The sequence below is a fragment of the Homo sapiens genome, chromosome 1, assembly GCF_000001405.40.
Source record: "Homo sapiens chromosome 1, GRCh38.p14 Primary Assembly".
In the NCBI taxonomy this organism is placed as follows: Eukaryota; Metazoa; Chordata; class Mammalia; order Primates; family Hominidae; genus Homo; species Homo sapiens.
The window spans coordinates 35,311,440-35,336,616 of NC_000001.11; the positions used below are offsets into that span (position 1 = coordinate 35,311,440).

Below are 25,177 nucleotides of genomic sequence, written 5' to 3' on the forward strand. Positions count from 1 at the left end.
AGTCATAAATGAACTACTGTAGTATATAATGTTTTGGGACTGGCTTCATAGAATCAGTATTTTATCACTTCAGACCTGGCGTGGTGGCTCATTCTGTAATCCCAGCACTGAGCCATGAGCGTACCACTGTACCCTAGTCTGGGTGACAGAGGGAGACTGTGTCTCAAAAAAAAAAGTCACTTCAAGTGAGATCTAGACAATGAATTTGGAGGGCTGTTTTACTCTCCCTTTTATGTTGTAGTTTCCATATATGTATATATTGAAAACCGTGTAATATTTTTTACACTCCACTGTTAAACATAGGTTAAAGAAGTGAAAAATAAAGCAATAGTCTATATATAGAAATAGTTATATTTATTCAGATATTTATTATTTCTGTTGCTCTTCATTCTCAATTTTCTACATTTTCTTCTGATATTATTTCACTTTTGTATGAAGAGCCTTTCTTTTTCTTTTTCCTTTTTTTTCGAGACGAGGTCTCACTCTGTCACCCAGGCTGGAGTGCAGTGGTGATCCTAGCTCACTGCAGCCTCAAACTTTGGGCTCAAGCGATCCTCCCATCTTGGCCTCCCAAAGTGCTGGCATTACAGTCATGAGCCACCATACCCTGCCTGTTTTTCTTTCTTTTGGCATCCATGGTTTCTGATGGAAAGTCTGTAGTTATAAGTAATGTGTTGTTTGTTTCTGACTGTTCAAAGATTTTTGTTGTTGTTGTTGTTTAGGTTTTGGCAGTTTGATTATGAGTGTCTTGGTGTATATATCTTTGGGTTTTCCTGTTTGACGTTTGCTTAGCTTCTTGAATCTGCAGATATCTATCTGTCTTTCATCAAATTTGGGAAGTTTTCAGCCATTATTTCTTCAGATATTTTTTTCTGCTCTGCAGTCTTTCTCCTCTGCTTCTGGAACTCTGATGCCATAAATAATATACCTTTTTATACCTTTATTTTGATAAAATATACATAACATAAAATCTTCCATTTAACCATTTTTAGGTGTATAATTCAGTGGCATTAAGTACATTCGCATTGTTGTGCTACTATTAACACCATCCATATCCAGAACCCTCTACCATATTCTTTTTAAAGTCTGCGTAGAATTTCGTGTTTAATCTGTCTTAATAAATTAACCATTTCCCTGCAGTGGTACTAGTACTTTTTTTATTGTTTAAATTATGTGGCAGCAAATGTCTTTTTTTCTTTCTTTTCTTTTTCTTTCCTTCTTTCTTTCTCTTCTTTCCCTTCTTTCTTTTCTTTCTTTCTTTCCCTTCTTTCCCTCCCTCCCTCCCTTCCTTCCTTTTTTGAGACAGAGTCTCACTCTGTTGCCCAGGCTGGAGTGCAGTGGCACAATCTTGGCTGACTGCAACCTCCGCCTCCCAGGTTCAAGTGATTCTTGTGCCTCAGCTTTCCAAGTAGCTGGGACAGGTGTTTGCCACCATACCTGGCTAATTTCTTTTATTATTATTATTGTTTTTGGAGACGGAGTCTCGCTCTGTCACCCGGATTGGAGTGCAGTGGCACGATCTTAGCTCACTGTAACGTCTGCCTCCTGAGTTCAAGTGATTCTCCTGCCCCAGCCTCCCGAGTAGCTGGGACTAGAGGCGAGTGCCACCACAGCTGGCTAATTTTTGTGTTTTTAGTAGAGACAGGGTATCACCATGTTGCCCAGGCTGGTCTGGAACTCCTGACCTCAGGTGATCCACCCGCCTCAGCCTCCCAAAGTGCTGGGATTACAGGCATGAGCCACCGTGACCGGCCCCAGCTAACATTTTTATTATTATTAGGTACGGGGTTTCACCATGTTGGCCAGGCAGGTCTCAAACTCCTGACCTTAAGTGATCTCCCTGCCTTGGCCTCCCAAAGTGTTGGGATTACAGGCGTGAGCCATTGCACCCAGCCTATCTTAAGTATTTTAAAGGTAAACTTTTATCTGTCACTTTTTCTTTTTCTTTTTCTTTTTTTTTTTTTTTTGAGACAGAGTCTCACTCTGTAGCCCAAGCTGCAGTGTAGTAGCACGATCTCAGCCCACTGCAACGTCCACCTCCTGGGCTCAAATGATTCTTGTGCCTCAGCCTCCCGAGTAGCTGGGACTACAGGCGGGCGTCACCACACCCGGCTAATTTTTTGTATTTTAGTAAAGGTGGGTTTTCACCAGGTTGCCCAGGTTGGTCTCGAACTCCTGAGCTCAGGTGATCCACCCAGGTTGGCCTCCCAAAGTGTTGAGATTACAGGTGTGAGCCACCTCACCTGGCCTCTGTCACTTTTATTTGCAGTGACAGTCTTAGAGGTTGGGAGATTGTAAAGGTTGTGTGTATTGGCTAAAATGAAGCCTTTATTATTGGAATTTTTATTTTAAAAATTTATGTTAAAAATGTATATTATATTTTAAAGGTGTATATAATATGATCTATGTGAAAAAATGTGAGCCTGAAAGGGCCGGTCTTTCAAGTTGGATCCCAAGTGGCTAACTGGGCCTAAATTTAAAATAGAGCCTAGCAACCATTTGCTGACTAGAGGTCATTCACATACTCTTAGTTCCTGAAAACTCACACCTCTGCTTAACTTTAGGTATCACTAATTGAAGAGAAGCAGTCCAAGGTTTTTATTTTTACCTTAAATAATTGAGAAAACTTTTATTTGTTGTTTTAGTTATAAGTTTTATAATTTACATCATGTTTGCTATAGACTTTAGGAAGCACTGAAAATAGTTTCTTTGAGGAATGCCATGATTTTATCATAAATATTCCTGATTCTTCCAACTTGGTAACCAATTCTATACATTATTTTGGACTAGTAAACTTAATGACAAAAACTATAGTTTATTTTTCTTTTCCCTCAAAAAAAAAATAGTTTACTCTTTTTTTTTTGAGACGGAGTCTTGCTCTGTCTCCCAGGCTGGAGTGCAGTGGCACAATCTCAGCTCACTGCAACCTCCGCCTCCCGGGTTCCAGCGATTCTCCTGCCTCAGCCTCCTGAGTAGCTGGGGTTACAGGCACCTGCCACCACACCCGGCTAATTTTTGTATTTTTAGTAGAGACGGGGTTTCACCATGTTGGCCAGGCTGGTCTTGAACTCCTGACCTCAAGTGATCCACCTGCCTCAGCCTCCCAAAGTGCTGGGATTACAGGTGTGAGCCACTGCGCCTGGCCCCAGTTTACTTTTAAGGGTAAATATAGTATTTTATACTTGCAGATTGAAAGGGAGACATTATTTAACTATTCAAAAATGATTTTTTTTTTTTTTTTTGCTGGGGTAGTTTGATTTCTATCCTTAACTTTTGTGAAAAGAAGTCATTAAAAAAATAATTTTGGCTGGGCGCAGTGGCTCATGCCTAATCCTAGCACTTTGGGAGGCTGAGGCGGGCGTATCACCTGAGGTCAGGAGTTCAAGACCAGCCTGGCCAACATGGTGAAACCCTGTCTCTATTAAAAATACAAAAATTAGCCAGGTGTGGTGGTGCGCATCTATAATCCCAGCTACTTGGGAGGCTGAGGCAGGAGAATTGCTTTAACCCAGGAGGCAGAGTTTGCAGTGAGCCGAGATCACGCCATTGTACTCCATGGGTGACAAGAGCAAGACTCCATCTCAAAAAAACAAAAAAACAAAAACAAAAAAAACAAAAGTAATTTTAAGGTGATGGCCTTTTTTTTTTTTTTAAAGCTATTTTCTCAGTAATGGGCTCTATTCTCTATATTCAGTGATACATTTCGACTATTTTATGTTTATCAGGTTATTGTAGCTATTCAAACAAGTTTTTTCATTAAAATATATAATGTAAATTTAACACTCAAAAGATACGTTTTGCAAAACTTCAATAGAACATTTTTAGTAGCTGGCTTGTTAAGTTTTTTTCTGAACTTGAAAGTAATTCAGTTGCTTTATTTTATACAATTTGAGTTGTAAAATGCAACTTAACTCCATTGCTTCTACGTAGAACTTTGGTTTTTATTTTATATAACCTTTAAAAAAAGTTCTACTAAAAAAAATTACTACCAGCACATGAAATGTGTATTACAGACAATAAGTGTACCTACAGCAAGTTGACAGTTAGCCAGTCTTTTTTTGATGGAGAAACCAAGCCTGTTTTTAGTTTATGTCAGTGTAATTTCTGTGAACTAATCATTTTGTTTAAGTAACTTTACATAAATTTTGAAATGAATAAAAATGCGAAAAGAAGATGTATTTGCTTCTTTTTTAAAGGAAGAATTGTTAATGTCTTAAAAAGTCAGGCTCACCCCTGTAACCCTAGCACTTTGGGAGGCTGAGTTGGGAGGATCGCTTTAGCCTGGGGGTTTGGGACCAGAATTGGCAACAGTGAGACCCTGTCTCTACAAAAAAATAAAGAAAAAAATTCACTGGATGTACCTGTAGTCCCAACTACTCAGGAGGCTGAGACGGAAGGATTGCTGGCGCCCAGGAGTTCAAGGCTGTGGTGAGCAAAGATCATGACACTGCACCCTGGCCTGGGTGACAGAGTGAGTCCCTGTCTGGGGGAAAAAAAAAATTATTATTATTTTTTAAAAGTCATTTAATTAAAAAGAAATACTTTATGTATAGAGAATTAGACCTACTTTTTATAGTTTTCTTAACAAGTATTCAGTGTCCATTATATAATACTAATTCAAGTTTTTAGTTTATGCCTAGCTTGAGAGTGAATTGTGAGCATTAAATTTGAACGTTTGGAAAGAGTTTTTAGGATTATGTAGCCCAACTTTATTATATATTAATTATATGGGTTGAAGAAATCGAGTCCCAGAGGAGTGAAGTTTCTCCCTTAAGCTTTGTTTGTTAGTAGCAGAACAGTGACTAGACTATTACAGTATTGAAATTAGTAGTCCTTCTCAAGACCTACTGTGTATTTGGTAGCAAATGTGTAATAGTAAGTTAGTCCTCACTTTTATTTTGTTCTGATATGCTTGAATTTCAGTTGCCAAGGTTTAAATGCCAGTTCTCTAACAACACAGTTCATATTTCATTTACCATAGTGTGTTAACTGTGAGCAATTGCATAAAGTATAAACTTCAGTGCTAGCTCTTGTGTTAACAAATCACTATGTAATTAGCAGATGTCTCACGAGCAGTGACTAATCACATCACTTCTTTCAGAGTCTGTGTTGCAGTTTTTCACTCTGCATCTATTATTTAGTTCATACACAGACAGCAAAGTGTGTAGTTGTGTTGCATCCTTGTCTCCCAATTATAAACTTATGTGACATTTTATGAAAATGGATACTCAAGAGGAGAGAATTTGCAAAAAAAGATGAAAGTTCAGAAAAGGAATCAAAAGTGATAACACAGGAACTGAAAAATTAGATGTGATTAGATGATCCAAAAATGGTGACAGGCAAGTGAAGATAGGACAAGAGCTAGGCCTGCATGTAGTTACAGTATGAACTATATTGAAAAAATTCAATTGGTGGCTCACGCCTGTAATCCCAGCACTTTGGGAGGCTGAGGCGGGCGGATCACCTGAGGTCAGGAGTTTGTGACCAGCCTGGCCAACATGGTGAAACCCTGTCTCTACTGAAAATACAAAAATTAGCTGGGCATGGTGGCAGGCGTCTCTAACCCCAGCTACTTGGGAGGCTGAGGCAGGAGAATCACTTGAATCTGGGAGGTGGAGGTTGCAGTGAGCCGAGATCATGCCATTGCACTCCAGCCTGGGGGACAAGAGCGAGACTTCATCTCAAAAAAAAAAAAAAAGTTAAAGTGCTTCAGCCAGGCGTGGTGGCTCACGCCTGTAATCCCAGCACTTTGGGAGGCCGAGGCAGGTGGATCGCCTGAGGTCTGGAGTTCGAGACCAGCTTGGCCAACATGGTGAAACCCTGTCTCTGCTAAAAACACAAAAAATTAGCCAGGTGTGAAGGCGGCACCTGTAATCCCAACTACTCAGGAGGCTGAGCCAAGAGAATCCCTTGAACCCGGGAGGTGGAGGCTGCAGTAAGCTGAGATTGCGCCATTGCCCTCCAGCCTGGGCAACAAGAGTGAAACTCTGTCTCAAAAAATAAATAAATAAATAGATAGATAGATAGATAGCTTTATCACGTAATTTAAATAAATTGTATAAAATGTAGTCAATTTGGCTAGCATTCAGGCTGAATCATTGAAGTTAGTTGTTGCACTGAAAGAAAACTAATTACAAGCCAACCGAAGGACTTCTTGTTGCCAGTAAAGGCTGGTTTGATCATTTCAGAATGGTCATAGATTGTTGATAAGTTTTCTGGTAAAGATGCTAGAACAGATCGGGATGCTGCTGTGAAATTTGTGCCCAGATTCCAGAGATTACTTAAGGCAGGTAATTGTGATCATCAGCTATTTAACATGTTGATGGGATAGGTCTTTTTTGGAATGCAGCCCATCATTAACTTATGCAATGAAAGACATAGGATCTTCAAGTGGCCATAAAGGGGAGTGTGTAGATATGTCACCTGAAGAATTCAGTGAAGACAAACTTACAAACATAAATGAGGAAAATGTTGTAACAAAGAGACGAATGTCATAGTGGAAGTAATACTGGTACAAATTTCACAGTAACACAACTCGTTGAGATACTCAAAAGATTCAAAGAGCAAAGGGTATAATTTTGGAAGCCAATTCAAATTTAGAAGGGATTATGGCAGTTTTTTTTTTTTTTTTTTTTTTGAGACAGAGTCTCACTCTATCACCCAGACTGGAGTACAGTTGCGCAACCTTGGCTCACTGCAACCTCTGCCTCCCGGGTTCAAGTGATTCTCCTGCCTCACCCTCCCGAGTAGCTGTGACTACAGGCACGTGCCACCATGCCTGGCAATTTTTGTATTTTTAGTAGAGACAGGGTTTCACCATGTTGGCCAGGCTAGTCTTGAACTCTTGACCTCAGGTGATCCACCCACCTTGGCCTCCCAAAATGCTGGGATTATAGGGGTGAGCCACTGTGCCCGGCTGACAGTTTGTTAAGGCATGGAAAAGTTGCTTATTCTGTATCACAAGTTACATAGGAAAAGACAAAGGCAGGCACTGTCTACTCCTGGTAGGGTTTTTTGTTTTTTTGTTTTTTAATTTGAGGCGAAGTCTCGCTCTGTCACCCAGGCTGGAGTACAGTGGCATAATCTCGGCTCACTGCAACCTCCGTCTCCCAGGTTCAAGTGATTCTTCTGCCTCAGCCTCCCAAATAGCTGGGATTACAGGCATGTGCCACCACACCTGGCTAATTTTTGTATTTTTAGTAGAGACAGGGTTTTACCATCTTGGCCTGGCTGGTCTTGAACTCCTGACCTCAAGTCATCCGCCTGCCTTGGCATACCAAAGTGCTGGGATTACAGGCATGTACCACTGTGCCCAGCCATACTCCTGGTAGATTTTTTACAAATAAATAAAACCCTTTGATTCTCACATTTTAAATTATAACGTAGTAAGCAAATATTAGTTATACAATATTTTTTCATTTCCCTACACATTTAAACTGACACAGTGTTTTTGTTTTTGTTTTTGAGACGGAGTTTCGCTCTTGTTGCCCAGGGTGGAGTGCAGTGGCATGATGTTGGCTCACCACAACCTCCGCCTCCCGGGTTCAAGTGATTCTCCTGCCTCGTGAGTAGCTGGGATTACAGGCATGGGCCATGATGGCCAGCTAATTTTGTATTTTCAGTAGAGACAGGGTTTCTCTATGTTGGTCAGGCTGGTCTCGAACTCCCGACCTCAGGTGATCAGCCCGCCTCGGCCTCCCAAAATGCTGGGATTACAGGTGTGAGCCACCGTGCCTGGCCAAACTGACAGAGTTTTTAACGTTTCAAGTGTTTTGACAAAAAAAGATCATGGAACAATTTTAATTTTTCTCTTTGATCATTAAGATTGCTTTGCATGGTTTCAGCTTGCATAGTCGTTTTTATATTTCTGCGTGGTAGCTGCCTGTATAAAAAATATAATATCGCTGGGTGTGGTGGCTCATGCTTGCATTCCCAGCACTTTGGGAGGCTGAGGTGGGAAGATCACGAGGCCAGGAGTTCAAGACCAGCCTGGGCAATATAGCAATACCCAGTCTCTACAGAAAATTTTAAAAAATTAGCTGGGCGTGGTTGTGCACACCTCTAGTTCCAGCTACTTGGGAGTTGAGGTGGGAGGATCCCTTGAGCTCAGGAGTTTGAGGCTGCAGTGAGCCATGATCATGTTACTGCATTCCAGCCTGGGCAACAGAGCAAGACCCGTCTCAAAAAAATTTTTCCAAAACAAATTTCTCACATTGAGAAACTTGAAAAAAATGATTGTAAAAATCATCAGGATTAATACATTTGAAAAACTAAGGGACATCCAAATCAGAGTAGCAACAGGGAAAGACTAACATTACTCATTGTGGCGGTTGAAGGAATAGGAATAGGATTGGACATTTGATTTGGAGTGGTCTGTTGAAAGTATACAAATTATTTGAAACTTCAGTGGAAACTTTGGGAGTTTTGGAAAATTTAAAGTACACTCTATGGTTAAGTTTTTTAAATAAACAAGTTTCAAACTGCTTATTAACTAATAGAAATGATTCTTTTATTTAGCAAAGACTGAGTTTTTGTTATATTTTACGCAGTGTTGTAGGTGCTAGGCTACTAAATACAGAACAAATAAAAATATCTTTGGGCTAGTGTGATACTGTGATATAATAGGAAATACATATTTGGTTTCTGCCCCAGGTTCCTGGCACACAGCTCCTAAAACTGTTGGAATCTCTGAAGTGATAAGTGTGGATTGTGTACTAATGAGTGACTTGGGCTTAGGGCCAGGCCTTTCCATAGCTTCAGCATGGGGCTGGTCACCAAAAATACCAAGACATGACTAGAGGGCTAAACATCGAGTTGAGCAGCAGTGCCAATGATTTACTCAATCATGGCTGCATAATGAAGCCTCCATAAAAACCCCAAAGGCAAGGTTCAGAAAACTTCCGGATTGCTGAACCACACAGAGGTGCTGGAAAGGTGGCATGCCCAGAGAAGACGTGGGAACTCCATGCCTCTCCCCAGCATGTATCATCCTATGCATCTCTTTCATCAGGTTGTTCACCTGTATCCTTTGTAGTATCCTTTATAATAAACCAGTAAATGTGTTCCCCTGAGATCCATGAGCTGCTTTAGCAAATTAATTGAACCTGAGGTGGGGGTTGCGCACACCCCAAGTTATATAGCTGGCCAGTTACAAGGTCAAGTCACAGCCTGGGGCTTGTGATTGGTATCTGAAGTGGGAGGCAGCCTTGTTGGACTGAGCCTTCAACCTGTGGGATCTTACTCTTAATTCTAGGTAGATAGTGTCAGAATTGAAGTGAATTATAGGACACACAGTTGGTGTCTGCTAGATATTTGGTGTGTGATGAAAAAGTCCCACATATCTGGTCACTGAAATGTTCTGTGTTGCGAGACTGTTATAGCAGAAAAATAATCTTTTGTTTGTTTTTTTCTTCAGGGTGCACTTTTGCCTGCCCTGGCTTTGAGAAGTGTAGGATTTCTAATCCTTTATAGAATCTTGATTTCATTTAGGTTCTATTGAAAGAAACTAACTAGATTGTTTTTTGTTTTTAATTTTTAACATTATTCTAAAGGTCTTTATATAAAGCGCTCCTTTTTATTGATTTTGTGTTTAGTCTCCAAAGTTGGATTAAAACTCAAGGTTTGTATAACCCCTGTTATCTGTCAGCAGGTTGGTCTACAAAAAGAATGGGATATGACCTCATACAGCTTCAGAAACCTGTATGGGTACTTGATTCTTTATAGCATTCCCAACTTGGGAGTAAAGTTATTATAGTTGTTACACAGTCACATTGGTCGTAGTATCACTAGGAAAGAGCTGTGAATTCTACTTTGTTCGGGAAGTTGGGTGTGTGTGGGTTGTGTGTGAGATTATGGTACCATAGAGGAGTAGCAGCTTTAGCTTGAAGCTGAGTATATGTTTACTATTGAATTAAGACTGGAAAAGCTTAAGCACTGTGCACAGTGACCCAGATGCTTGAAACTACCTGAAAGGTTGGGTGAGCAGCTATAGGTTATTTATCATGGCTGGAGCATTTGCTTACAGGATGGGGATGTAATGGGAATGTGAAGGCAGGAAAAGATAAAGCTGTAGAGGAAATTAGGGCTAGATTTTGGAGAGTCTTATATATCCACAGAAGTTTGGACATTTTTCTTGGGAGACTTTCAGAGCTGTGTGTGTGTGTGTGTGTGTGTCCTTCCCCTTAACCTCTCAGTACCTCCATTTCTTCACCTATAAAATAGAGGTGTTAACAGTACCTACCTTATGAGATTTTTGGGAGATTAAATTGGATTAAATCATATAAAGTACTTGGAAAAAAAGTGTCATAAACTGGGCATGGTGGTGTGTTCCTATAATCCCAGTAACTCATGAAGCTTAGTTGGAAGGAATTAAATTTTAAAAAATTAAATATTTAATTTTTTTAACCTAGTGATCTTTTTTAACCTAGTGATCCCACTTCTAGAAATTGATCCTACAGATATACTCACATACCTAAGCCATATCATATGTATACAGATGACAACTGCAATATTGCATTTAAAAAAAAAAAAGCAGGAGGCAACCTTAAAATGTTCATCAGTATAATATAATAAGAGACTGTGCAGCCACTGGAAAGAATGAAGTAGATCTCTGTATAATTTTCCAAGATATACTATTGGGTTTTTTAAAAACAGGGACATTTCTATGTCTCTCTTCATTTTGTATCTTTACCAGTCTGAGAGAAAATGGTATCTCAATTTTGATTTTGGGTAAGATTGAATGTTTAGTGCTTGTTTATGTTCTTTGATCACTTTCTATTGGGATAGTACTCTTTAATTGAGTCCAAGATTGCTTTATACATAGAATATTAACCATTATTATACTACTACTACAACTTTTTCATTCATATTACCTTTAAGCTTTTCCAAACAATTTTTTAGAAATATAGTCAAACTTTAAAATCTTTTTCATGAAGATCTCTTTTTCTGGTTAAAAGACTTTTCTATCTTCTAGGGCTTTTATTTTTTTTTCAGTTTATTTTTAACTTATCTGGGATTAATGTTGATGTGAAGTAGTGATTGTGATCCAAATTTTTTCACCTTAAATGGTTGTCATCTTCTAGTTCTCTTTTTTCCTTTAGGAGTGAGAATAGATCATTGGGTTTAGCAGTGTGGAGGTCGCTTATGACCTTGACGAGAAAAGTTTCAGTAGAAATAGTGCAGGCAGAAGCCTTACTGAAGTGGGTTCAAGAGACAGGTGTCGTAGGCAGCATGTATAGACAACTTTTTTTTTGTTTTGGTTTTGGTTTTTAGATGTAGTCTTGCCCTGTTGCCCAGGCTGGAGTGCAATGGCGTGATCTCGGCTCACTGTAACCTCCGCTTCCCAGGTTCAAGCGATTCTCCTGCCTCAGCCTCCCAAGTAGCTGGGATTACAGGTGTGTGCCACCATGCCCGGCTAATTTTTTTGTATCTTTAATAGAGATGGGGTTTCACCATGTTGGCCAGGCTGGTCTTGAACTCCTGACCTTGTGATCCACCTGCCTCGGCCTCCCAAAGTGCTAGGATTACAGGCGTGAGTCACCACGCCTGGCTTTTTTGTTTTGTTTTTGTTTTTGTTTTTGAGACGGAATCATGCTTTGTCCCCTAGGCTGGAGTGCAGTGGCACAATCTCGGCTCACTGCAACCTCCACCTCCTGAGTTCAAGTGATTCTCCTGCCTCGCAGCCTCCCAAGTAGCTGGGATTACAGGTGCCCGCCACCACGCCCAGCTAATTTTTGTATTTTCAGTAGGGATGGGTTTTTGCCATGTTGGCCAGGCTGGTCTTGAACTCCTGACTTCAGGTGATCTGCCCACCTTGGCCTCCCAGAGTGCTGGGATTACAGGCGTGAGCCACTGCACCCGGCTGGACAACTCCTTTGAAGAGTTCTGCTGTCAAGGGGAAGAGAAAAATGAGCAGTAGCTCTAGGGGGATAGAGAGTCATGAGAAATATTGTATAAGATGAGAAGGAATAATAGCATCGGGCCTTGGGACAGTATTGTTCAAAAACAAACTGTTATTAAACAATGGGATTCTTCTCAGTGTAGGCAGATGCTTTCATTCTTTGGCTTACAGAGTGACATTTTTCTTCGTTTTTTGTTTTTTGTTTTTTTGGTGTTTTTTTTTTGAGACAGAGTCTCGCTCTGTCGCCCAGGCTGGAGTGCAGTGGCACGATCTCAGCTCACTGCAAGCTCTGTCTCCCAGGTTCATGCCATTCTCCTCATTCTCCTGCCTCAGCCTCCTGAGTAGCGGGGACTACAGGCGCCCACCACCATGTCCGGCTAATTTTTTTGTATTTTTAGTAGAGACGGGGTTTCACCATAATTAGCCAGGATGGTCTCGATTTCCTGACCTCATGATCCACCCGTCTCGGCCTCCCAAAGTGCTGGGATTACAGGCGTGAGTCACCACACCTGGCCCAGAGTGACATTTTTCATTTCCCATTTCCCTTTCATTCTAGAGCCTAGCTCATTGACTGGAATGGTAGGTGGAGTGACCTTCACTATTAGTTTGCTTTCCTTTACTTTCCAATGTTTACATAGTTGAATTTCAAGTTAAATGTGTTTATAAATTACCTGCACTATCATTTAAAAAATTGCTCCTTTTGTTTTCTTTTGGAATTCTGATATATTTTACCAGGATGTATCCTTTTTTTTTGTTATTTCTTTGGTATTTAGTGGGCCCATTCAATCTCAGATATGGTATTTATATCTTCAGTTCAGGGAAATTTTTTTCTGTTATCCCTTTCACCATTATTTTCTTCTTTGGGGGTACCTTTGATATTGCTGTTAGACTTAGTGCTTCAATCCTCCATGTCACATAAATTATCTTTTCCAACTTTTTGTCTAGAGATGAGGTTTCACCATGTTGGCCAGGATGGTCTTGATCTCCTGACCTTGTGATCCGCCCACCTCAGCCTCCCAAAGTGCTGGGATTACAGGTGTGAGCCACTGGGCCCAGCCAAGAAGTTGCTTTTTTATAAGTTACTTGTTTCCTTCTGGAGTGGTGGTTCTGTTTGTTTACCTTGAACTTTCTCTTTCACATAGGTTTCTTTTGGAAACCTGGGATCTTTTATTTTCTCTTCATATTTATGAATATCAGATACTACTGATTACTATAGCTAGCTGTTGTGTTTCCTCTACAGTTATGTAGGTAGCTAGGTAGTTCTTTTTTCCTTAAAAGTCTCTCCCTTGAATGGGGTGGCTGATTCTGGCTTCTTACAGTAGGCAAGGTTTATCAAGAAGCAGCATTTCTTGTGTTCTTGCCTCACTGATGAGTAACAGGCAGGGAAGCAGGAACCTCCAAAGTAAGGAGGCCTTCAGAGACTCAGAGTGAAGTGTGCCATTTTCTTTAGTTCTTTGGTGGAGTTACCGGTGCTTTGCTTTCTTTTCCCTCTGTGTTTAAAGATCTGAAATTACCTCTGACATGGCTCTACTTCTGTCTTAGGCACTAACGTACTCAGTAGGAACCATCCCTATAACAGGCCTCACTTTCAATTTAAGAGCAGCATGTTTTTGGCTTTAGCTTAAGAGCAAAAGCTGTTAATTTTTCTGTTCAGTTTTGATGGGAAGTTTTACATAGTTCTCGGTGTTAGTAAGTTCTTATGAAGCGTTAGCTGTGTTTACTGTTATTAAAATATATATGATCATCTCTTTTGTGACATGAATGATTAAAAAAATAAGTAGTTGTTTATAGTGAGAGGATGTGATTTATCTCTTAGTTTTTGGTTTGGGGCTTTGGTCTGAGAACTACTTTGGTTCATCCTAAATTTTATTTTACTCTATTTGGCAATGTTTTTGTTTATATTGTGCACTTGTCATTTGGGTTGAAAATTACAGCTCCTTGGGGAATAGGGAGGGATACCAAAAGAATGTATGATAGAAGATATGATGGTAATGTTACTTTTTCCTTTTTTGCTTTTCCAGTTTGAACAAAAAAGTGGTGCAGTTTTTGATGAAATTGTAGAGAACTGTAAGTACCATTTGAGAAAAAACAATCATGTCTTTAGATAGAAAATGAATGTTAATCTAGATGTGGTATTTAACTATTACAGTGTTTAGTTAGGGCTGATTTATGTGATGGTTCAATCTGATTTAGTCTAGATCTCATCACGTACTGTTCTTTCAGCAGGTTAATCTGAATTGTAAGAATCTTATTCTTTTTTTCAATAAATATTTTATTCTCATAGTTATCATATTAAAATATAGCCATACTTCGTGTCTATATGGAAGATTATACTTACCACTATTAAGGGTTTCTACTTGGGTTAAGGTCTTTTATTTTCTTTTAAAATTCTTTTTGTGTTATCGTATTTTTAGAAATAATTTGTTTTTTATGATTATAAAAGTAATACATTCAATTTTACAATACAGAAATGAATAAAATAGAAAGTAAAAGTCTTTGTCATTACCATTCTCCAAAGATAACCAGTTTTAAAAGTTTAACATATATATCTTTCCAGACTTTTTTCTATGAGTGTATATAGCTATACATGGTGTATGGAGATTTATATATGTGTGTAGGAATCATAGATACTGTTCTTGCTTTTTTTCATTCAACTGCGTAGACATCTTTCTGTGTCAATGGATATAGACCTGTTGCACCCTTTTTAATGGCTACTCAGTATTTTATTGTATGGCTGTATAATAAGTCCTCACTAAATGTTGTTGATATGTTCTTGGAAATTGTGACTTTAGGTGAAATGACATATAATGAAACCAATTTTACCATAAGTTTAAATTGATAGAAGTAAGAGTTAAGTTCCTGTGGCATATTTTTAGTCACAAAAACACCATCAAACTTCTAAATAAAGATCTGAAACACTTCTAATATTAAACATTGAAATAAATGTGAGCTATACATGCATACAAGAAAGATTAATAAAAACAAGTAAGATAATTATTTACCCAGTTTTTGGTGAATCAGCGAGTGATGGTGCTTGTAGTGGTGGTTGGTTAACTTAAGGAATAAATGTTTGCAAAGCAAACATTGTCAAGAGCACCTCCTACCACCATGCAGTTCAGAAACAAACAATAATAAACATGATGGGCTCACTGAGTGCATCATTTATGTACTTTTCTGTGCTGATTATATATTTTATGAATTTTATTACAATAATTTATATTCATTCATTCATTTTCCAATCCCCTTATTCCAATTCAGGGTCATGGGTGGCCGAAGCCTATCCTGGCAGCCTCAGGGCACAAGGCAGGAACCAGTCCTGGACAGGATGCCATCCCATCACAGTGTGCTTCACACACACACACCCATGCTCACTCAGACTGGGACAATTTAGACACGCTAATTAACCTAATGTGCACATCTTTGGGATGTGGGAGGAATCTAGAACATCTGGAGCAAACTCATGCAGACATGGAAAGAATATACAAACTCCACATAAATAATAGCCCTGGCTTGGAGTCATTTTTTTTCTCTCTTTTTTTGAGATGGAGCCTTGCTTTGTCACCCAGGCTTGAGTGAAGTGGCGTGATCTAGGCTCACTGCAACCTCTGCCTCACAGGTTCAAGTGATTCTCCTGTGTCAGCCTCCTGAGTCACTGGGACTACAGGCACACGTCACCACTCCTAGCTAATTTTTTATATTTTTGGTAGAGATGGGGTTTTACCATGTTGGCCAGGCTGTTCTCGAACTCCTGACCTCAAGTGATCCACCTGCCTTGGCCTCCCAAAGTCCTGGGATTACAGGCGTGAGCCACAGCGCCCGGGCTTTGTTTCTCTCTTCAGTGCTACAGCAAAATAACATTGAATGAAATGTTATTAGAGGACCTGCTGTACTATAATTTAACTAGCTTCTTTTATACATGTGTAATTTATTTTCAATTTTGCATTATTATTAAGAACATTGAATATGTATTCCCATACACATCTTTGTATACTTGTTGAAGCATTCTGTAGAATAAATTCCAAGAATAGAATTGATTAATTATCAAAGGATATTTTTGTGCTTTTTTATGAAAGACAAATTTTGTCAACTAGAGTTCTTGAATTAAGGGAATGTACTTTTTTAAAAAAAATTTACTTCTACCAGTAGGATCTGTACTTTCTTTCTCTTTGTAATTAGTTTAATATTTTAGAATGATAATATTTTTAGACTACCGTCTGACTATGTTATTTGATATTGAGAGGTAACTATATCTCCTGATCTTCAGTGGATTTAGTTATTGTGTGTCTTTTTTGTTTTAGGCAATCAAAAATAGAATTTAGCTAGCTTATCCAGAAGAATCATTTTAGATATATACTAGGATATTTCATAAAATATAAGATAAAATGAATTTCCTGCAGGGTACTCAGCAAAAGGAGATCATGTCTGTTCTCTACAAGTGCTGCCAGAAAGCAGTTATATTCCCACGATTTTTAATCTTTCTGTATATCCATTCTAAATTTCAAGTTGTTTGGAGAAAGATTATGATTGGGCCAGCTTGAATCTCATGTTCATCTTTGAACCAATTATCTGTGGTCAGGGAAACCAGGCCAGATAGTAAAACATACCTCTTGGAAGGCATGCCTCTGTCACTACTCACTTTCGCCAAATAATGTTTGAATACCTATTTTGGATGATATGCCTTTGCTCAAGTGTGTATATTGGTATTAGAAATGAATCATATAGCTTTCTAATGAAGGTTTTAATCTGATGGATTGTTAAAGTTGTTGCAGTAAAAACATTCTTAAAGAGGCAATAGGAATCTGTATTAAACCTGTAGCCGGGCTACTGTACTTGGAGTTCTACACCCAACATTTGGGGTTTGTGTTTCTGGTACGTGGTGTTTCTCTGCTCTCCTTCCTTAAACATTATTAGGCTCTCGATTTACAAGCAGAATGTTTTATTCTTTATTTTAGTTTTTATTTTAGAGACAGGGTCTTGCAGTTGCCTAGGCTGGAATGCAGTGGCATGATCATAGCTCACTACAACCTTGAACTCCTGGGGTCAAGTGATCCTCCCATCTCAGCATCCAAGTAGCTGGGACTATAGATGTGATCACCATGCCTGGCTAATTTTTTAATTTTTTTTTTTTTTTTTTTTTTGTAGAGATTAGGTCTTATTATGTTTTCCAATCAGGTCTTAAACACCTGGCCTCAAACAATCCTCCTGCCTTGGCCTCCCAAAGTGCTGGGATTACAGGAGTGAGCCACCACACCCAGCCAACCAGAAAGTTTTATACCAAATGTTAGTTGCAAATGGTGCAATAAAGGTTACCCTTTATCTCCCCTTTTCTGGTAGTTTAAATTAAAAGGATGTTGAAAGCCCTGGAGGCAGAGAAGTGACTAGCTTGGAAGGAATACTGGCCTCTCTCTGTGAGGGGAATTCAGGAACATAGACCCCTATCCAGGAGAGATAAGGGCAGACAGCTACATAGATGATATTCTGGAAAGCTCCGATACCAAAGATGATCATCCTAGCCCTCCCATTTTGTCTTGGGATTCATGTCTAGAAAAAAAGATTAACTGTATCTCAGGGAACTGTCTCAAAATGTCTGGTGTAGCACTAGACCTACCAGACCTACCCTGCTAGACCTACCATCTACTCATTGCCCAAGACCACCGGGATATGGGACCTCAAATATTTGTTTTGTAGATCAAATTCTGCCCTACTGTGGTATAATCCTATCACTGTCAGCAAAATATAGTATTTACTAATTATTGGCACACATAAATTAGCAGAGGCTAACCCCGTTTGTGAAGACATTGAGAAATCTAGTTTAAACATGAAAAATCTGAATTGACTTTCCAAAGATACAATATCTTCAGTGAAAGGGATTTAAAAGAAGACTTCAACATTTTATGCAGGTGAGAAGAGAAGGTGCGTTTCTTCAAGTTTGTTCTCCTGTGTCAGGACAATTTGTGATGTGGATTTTTAAAGATACATGGTGTGTTAGAGGAAATGACTGATTCTGTAGATGATCTTAATTCATGTTCCCTCAACCATTACTAGTTTATGTGAAGTTTTAAAGAAGTTGAAATAAAATAGGGAGATTGCTTTTATTTAATATATTCAGATAGTTGCTTCCTTAAGTCAAGGATTTTTATTCATTAAATGGCTCTAAGATAGCCAACTGGTCACTCAGCAATGGTTACTTTTCTTATTGATAGAATAAGTTTATTGAACATAACAGACTTGACAGTTTTAGGGGAAAAGTAAGAGCATTGCCGATTTGTTCATGAAGTACAGTTATTTGGATTCTAAAAATTATTCTTATTATTTTGACTACTTTCAGTGTACTAGTTTACTTGTGAAAAAGTTTGCATGTATTATCTTTTAAAAATTCTCCCTTTTTCTGGTTTAACTGAGGCAGGGTCTTGCTATGTTGCTGAGACTGGCTTCAAACTCCTGGGGTCAAGCAGTCCTCCTTCCACTGCCTCCCAAACTGCTAGGATTACCAGCATGAGTCACCACGCCCTACCCTTTAAAAATTCTAATAATAATTAATTAGAATATTAGGTTTAACTATATATAATAGAAGCACAATAGAACTTTATTTCTTGGCTGGGCATGGTGGCTCACACCTGTAATTCCAGTACTTTGGGAGGCTGAAGCAAGAGGATTGCATGAACCCAGGAGTTCAAAACCAGCCTGGGCACATAGCAAGACCCTGTCTCTGCAAAAAATACATAAAATAGTTGAATGTGGTGGTGCATGCCTGTAGTCCCAGCTGCTTGGGAGATTGAGTCAGGAGGATTGATTGAGTCCAAGAATTTGAGGTTACGGTGAGCTGATGGTGCCATTGCACTCCAGCCTGAGCTGCAGAGAAAGACCCTGTCTCAAAATATAAAAGGAAGGAAGGGAAGAAGGGAGGGAGGGAGGGAGGAAGGATAAGGAAGGAATGAGGAAAGAAAAGGAGTTTATTTCTCATATAAAAGAAGCCCAGATGATAATATGGCTCTGTGGTTATCAAGAAAGCTCTTCCAGCTATCTGGATTTTATCCCTAGTGTGTGACTTCCATTTTCAAGGTAGCGTGGTGTTCTAGGATGGCTGCTGTATCTTGAGCCTGGAGTAGGGAGGAAGGAGAGCAAAAGGCACACTTCTGAACAGAATCAGCTTCTTGAAGAACTTTCCTGGAAAATCTACCTGTGTACTTAGGTTTATATCTCATTGGCCATCCTACCTTCAAAGAAAGCTGGGAATAGTAATCCTTTACCTGAGCCCATTGTTATCAAGAATAAAATTGAGGCTCTCTTAGTAAGGAAAAGGGAGAGAATTGTTATTGTGTACATAGTGTCTGCTGCAACAACCTTTTTTCAAAGGTGCTACAACTGTTTCTATTTCACTAAGGAGCAAACTAAGGCTTAGAGACATCATTTCACTTTTAAGTGATGGAATCAGGATTTGAATGCTGATTTACCTAGCTACTAAGACCCTCCTTCCAAATCTTTCATTACCTGTTTCTGTACCTCACCCTAGTTCACTTGTATCACAGGTTTTGAAGAATAATTATTATTCGATGAAATAGTGGAGTAATTTATAAAGTAATTCAGAAATAGTTTTAGGTATATTAACCATGACTGAAGTTTTTGTGGCTGCTTGTGGAGCATCAGCATCAGTTTGTGTCTGAATTATAATGTATCTGCCTTATCAATGCAGTTCAATTTTTAAAAGAACTGATATAATTAAAATTTTTCTAAATGGAACAAACAAAAAATAAAACTGATAATTTGAGTCTTTTTTAAAAAAAACTACTTAAAAATTTTTGTTTACATGGTCTTTTGCTAAGTATTATTTGGATCCTTCAAACATTGTAAAGGAATACTTTCTTTATGAAAATGTTGAAATCAAAGCCTAAAAGTCTTCTTTAGGGATATAAACATGGGTAGAGAATTGAGATGGTGTTAATTGAAAAACACCTCACAGTTCTCAATAATTTTTTAGTTCTCCTTAAATAAAGGTATAGGTTCTTCTTGAATTAAACAAACTGATCAGTGATTAGTATACAATTTTCAAATGAATAAACTGAACTAAACTGATTTTTGTTTTATCTCTGTATTGGTAAAAGGTTTATGTTTTTGCCAGTAACTTACAGCAATTTCAGCATTGTTATCAATAAAATTGTGGTGTCAGTCAGGCGCAGTGGCTCACGCCTGTAATCCCAGCACTTTGGGAGGCCGAGGTGGGTGGATTGCTTGAGGTCAGGAGTTCGAGACCATCCTAGCCAACATGGTGAAACCCTGTTGCTACTAAAAATACAAAAAATTCACTGGGTGTGGTGGCGGGCACCTGTAATCCCAGCTATCTGGGAGGCTGAGGCAGGAGAATCACTTGAACCCTGGAAGTGGAGGTTGCAGTGAGCCAAGATCGTGCCACCATACTCTGGCATCCTGAGAAACAGAAAAAGACTCCATCTCAAAAATACATAAATAAATAAATAAATAAATAAATAAATAAATAAATAAAATTGTGGTATCAAGGAAACTCTGACACTAAAAAGGAGATATAAGTTCTATGTGAATTTTAGTTTAGGTTGATCAGTAGGATAAGAGGGTGGTAAAAGTATGTTGTAAATGTTTGAATATAAGATGATTCCAAATACAGGGTTCTGACCCATTTCCCAGTGAAAAGATAAGAGAAAAAAATAGAATTTTGTTATCTAGAATACATTTACTAATAGCCATGTGGGTGAAATAGATGTCTATTAATCATTTATTAAATTATATACATATTTAAAATCTCCTTATGTTAAATAGTATTGATTTAGAAAATACTGGTTTTCTTATAGTTGTTTTGTGAATTTTATGCAGACTCTAGAAATTTGACATTGTTAATCACTAGTGTCACTTTTTAAGTCAGTTAATGTAGTTTTCCAGAGCCTTCTAAATTATGTAAGTTATATTCTGAATTTGCATTCTGATTACTGGTATGTGCTACTTAACAAATCACCCCATAACTAATGGTGTAAAACACTTTTATTAAGCTCAAGGATTCAATGGCTCCGGTGTTCAGAAAGGGTATACTGGGGATGTTTTTTTTTTTTTTTTTTCTCTCCACAATGTCTTTGGTCTTGACTGAGAAGATTTGGAGGCTGAAGTTGACTGAATGGCTTGATGTTGGAATAATCTGAAAGTTTGTTCACTCATGTTTGGTGCCTTGCCTAACAGGACTCAAAGACTGTGACTGCTGACTTGAGCACCTGTACGTAGTCTGTTACCTTGCCTTCCTCATAGTGTGGCAGCCTTAAGGTCTTCTCACTTCTTTTATGGTGGCTCAGGGATCCAAGCAAAATACTAATTCAGTGAATAAGGCATAAGTTATATTATTATTATTATTTTTCTCCAGACAGGCTCTCATCCTGTCACCCAGGCTGTAGTGTAGTGACTATCATAATTCACTCTGACCTCGAACTCCTGGGCTCAAGTGATCCTCCTGCCTCAACCTCCCAGGTAGCTAGAACTATAGGCCTGCACCTCTGCACTTGCCTGATTTGTATATTTTTTTTGTAGAAATGGGTCTTGGCTATGTTGCCCATGCTGGTGCATCATCTTTTCTGACCTAGCTTCAAAAGTTATTTGGCATCCCTTCCACCAGGCAGTTCACAAGCTTGCCCAGATTCAGAAGCTATAGACCCCACATCTTAATAGGAGGAGGGAGGGTGAAGGTCACGTTATAGAAAAGCACATGGATGGAAGATACTGTTGCAGCCATTTTTGTAAAATAAAATCTGCTGTCACAGCATATAAAATACCCTGTTAAAAAATATTCTAAGCCATAAAATAGCTTTAAAAATTTTATCCTAGAGGTTTGTGTTTGGATCTTCATGGCATTAACTATTTCCAGTAATACATATATGTAAATTGCATGAATCTGATCATACATGATTTTTTTTTTTTTTTTTTTGAGACAGAGTCTTGCTCTGTTGCCCAGGTTGGAGTGCAGTGGTGCAATCTAAGCTCACTGTAGCTTCCGCCTCCTGGGCTCAAGCAATTCCTGTTCCTCAGCCTCCCAGGTAGCTGGGACTACAGGTGCGCCACCACACCCGGCTAATTTTTTGTATTTTTAATAGAGACGGGGTTTCACCATGTTGGCCAAGGTGGTCTCAAGCTCCCGGTCTCAAGTTGATCTGCCTATCTCGGCCTCCCAAAGGTCTGGGATTACAAGTGTCAGCTACTGCGCCTGGCCCATATATGATTTTTTAAGAGTAACATTTTGGCTTTTCTGTTGGCTTGGCCTCACCTTCCCATATCATTGTTCCTATCCCCTCTCATAACTTGTGTCAACAGCTTTGTAGGTAGCCTTCCATGTTTTTCAGTGCTCATAACATCATTATATACATAAACATACACAAATATATGTATGTCAGGATTTTGAGTTTTTCTTATTTAACAAAAATGGGATCATATACATACTTTTCTCCTCCTCACTTCTCTCTGTCTTGAGTACTTCATAAAACCCCTTCACCTCAACTGGAATAGCTCTCTATTCTGTGATTTTAATGCACAATAAGTCATCTTCTGCTTTGTTTTTAGGCATTTATGTCGTTTAAGGTTTTTTCTGCCACAATGAACAATGATACATTAAAAGTCCTTTAATGTATGTTTTTGTAAGTTGGTCATTTTATATATGTGGTTAGATTCCAAAGAGTAAGGATTCTGTGACTTAAAAAAAAAAAAAAGCATGCTGTAATCCCACCACTTCGGGAGACTGAGGTGGGCGGATCGCTTGAGCCCAGGAGTTCGAGACCAGCCTGGGCAACATGGCGAAACTCCATCTCTACAGAAAATACAGAAAAAATTAGTTGGGCTTGGGGGCACATGCCTGTAGTCCCAGCTACTTGAGAGGCTGAGGTGGGAAAATTGCTTGAGCCCGGGAGTTCGAGGCTATAGTGAACTATGATTATGCCACTGCACGCCAGCCTGGGTGACAGAAAGAGACCTTCTTTCTAAAAAATAAAAAAGCACTTTAATACCTCACATTTCCACCAGCAGTGTAGTAAGAACACCTTCCCCCATCCATTAGTATATATTATAGCTCTTCTTAATATTTCCCAGTCTGATGGATGTAAAATATCACAGCCTTAACTTTAATTTGTATGTTCTCAACTCCTGTAGAATTTGAGCAGCTTTTAATAAGTTTAACATTTAGACTGGCTTTCTCTGTATTGTCTAGTAATAAATATTTGTTGAAGAATGAATATCTTTTGCCCTTTAAAAAAAGTTTACTTTTTCTTCATAGCAAGTTGTAAGCTTGTTTTATATTTTAATAATAGCTGTTATGGTGAGTCACAGTAAGCACAGTAAAGCATACATCTGAAAGAAGATTCAGATATACATAATAGACAATCACTATTCATTCAGGATTTTTAACTTTGAGAATGCATAATGTAAAGTTCTTTTGATGGGGGCAGGAGTTCTGATTTCCCTCATTTGACTCCCTTTTTGTGTCATCTTGAGCTAAATAAATGTTTTTGACACTTAAACATTTTGGTATCGTTTATGACATCTGGGTTTTCAGTCTTGTTTAAGAAAGTTTTTCTCACTCCTTAGTTATTTCTCGGAATACTTCGAAAACTTTTTATAAATTATTAAACACAAAATAAACTTACAATGTAAGATATATTTTATGAAAACGCTTAACCACTTAGCTTTTTAAAATGTATATTTTCATGCTCTTGATGCCAATTTCCCAGTCTCATACAAGTAGCCACCTCTCCAAAAAGGTAGCCATCATCCTGAATTTTGTGTTTATTTTCTTGCTTTTCCTTTACCACAATTATTGAATATTTGTAGTTTTGCTTGGTTTTGAGCTTTGTATTGTTTTTGAATCATGCTGTGTGTTACCACTTGCTTTTATTCCCTATTGCATTTTTTTTTTTTTCCCAGACAGAGTCTCGCTGTGTCACCCAGGCTGGAGTGCAGTGACGCGATCTCGGCTCACTGCGATCTCTGCTTCCCGGGTTCAAGTGATTCTCCTGCCTCAGCATCCCGAGTAGCTGGGACTATAGGCACCCACCACCATACTTGGCTAATTTTTATATTTTTAGTAGAGACGAGGTTTCACCATGCTGGCAAGGCTGATCTCAAACTCCTGACCAGGACTCTTGATCCGTCCGCCTCTGCCTCGCAAATGCTGGGATCACGGGTGTGAGCCACCATGCCTGGCCCTCATTGCGTATTTCTGAGATTTTACTGCATTGTTGTATGCGGTTCTTGTTTATTTGTTTGTCACCAATGCATGATAATTCATTATATAAATATATAACTATTTTAAATTGTGGAAAAAACATAAAATTCTGGGCCAGGCGCAGTGGCTCAACACCTGTAATCCCAGCACTTTGGGAGGTCAAGGTGGGTGGATCACGAGGTCAGGAGCTCGAGACCATCCTAGCTAACACGGTGAAACTTTGTCTCTACTAAAAATATAAAAAATTAGCCGGACGTGATGGCAGGCGCATGTAGTCCCAGCTACTCGGGAGGCTGAGGCAGGAGAATGGCGTGAACCTGGGAGGCGGAGCTTGCAGTGAGCCTGGGCGAGAGAGCGAGACTCCGTCTCAAAAAAACAAAACAAAACAAAAAACCATAAAATTTACCACCTAAGCCATTTTTAAGTGTGCAGTTCAGTAGTGTTAAGTATATTCACATTGTTGTGCAACAGATCTCTGGAACTTTTTCATCCTGCAAAAGTGAAACTCTGTACCCATTGATCAATAAGTCCTCATCACCCCCTCTTCATCCCCTGGCAACCTTAGAAGTTTTATCTTCTAAGAGTTTGACTATGGTAGTAACTGTGTGTACGTTAGCATATCCTCAAGGTTCATCATGTTGTACCTTGTGGAACCATGTTGAACCTTCTTGTACCATGTTGAACATTCTGATACATGTAGCATGTGTTAGAATTGCCTTCATTTTTAAGGTAAAAATGATACTTTAGTGTATCCTCAAGGTTCATCATGTTGAACCTTGTGGTACCATGTTGAACATTCTGACACATGTTGTAACATGAGTCACAATTACCTTTTTTTTTTTTTTGATACAGAGTTTCACTCTTGTTGCCCAGGCTCCAGTGCAGTGGTGGGATCTTGGCTCACTGCAACCTCCACCTCCCAGGTTCAAGCGATTCTCCTGCCTCAGCCTCCCGAGTATCTAGGATTACAGGCGTGTGCCACCATCCCTGGCTAATTTTGTATTTTGGGTATAATTTTGTATTTTTAGTAGAGACAGGACTGTACCACATTGGTCAGG

The 25,177-nt window shown here is 38.9% G+C and overlaps 1 protein-coding gene across 18 annotated transcripts in view; it reads left to right on the plus strand.

Annotated features, from left to right (window-relative positions):
* The window catches only part of ZMYM4 (zinc finger MYM-type containing 4), a 153,350-nt gene that overhangs the window by 42,731 nt on the left and 85,442 nt on the right, over window positions 1-25,177 (plus strand). For 17 of the 18 annotated variants that reach the window (XR_246305.5, XR_007064889.1, XR_007064890.1 and 14 more), the window contains one exon: window positions 13,921-13,966. The exons of the other annotated variant lie outside the window; for it this stretch is intronic. Coding sequence is in view for 3 of the 17 variants with exons in the window: in NM_005095.3 (NP_005086.2) it covers window positions 13,921-13,966 (46 nt within the window). In the remaining 14 variants the exon portion in view is untranslated. The remainder of the gene's footprint in view (window positions 1-13,920; window positions 13,967-25,177) is intronic. 18 annotated transcript variants of the gene reach the window in all.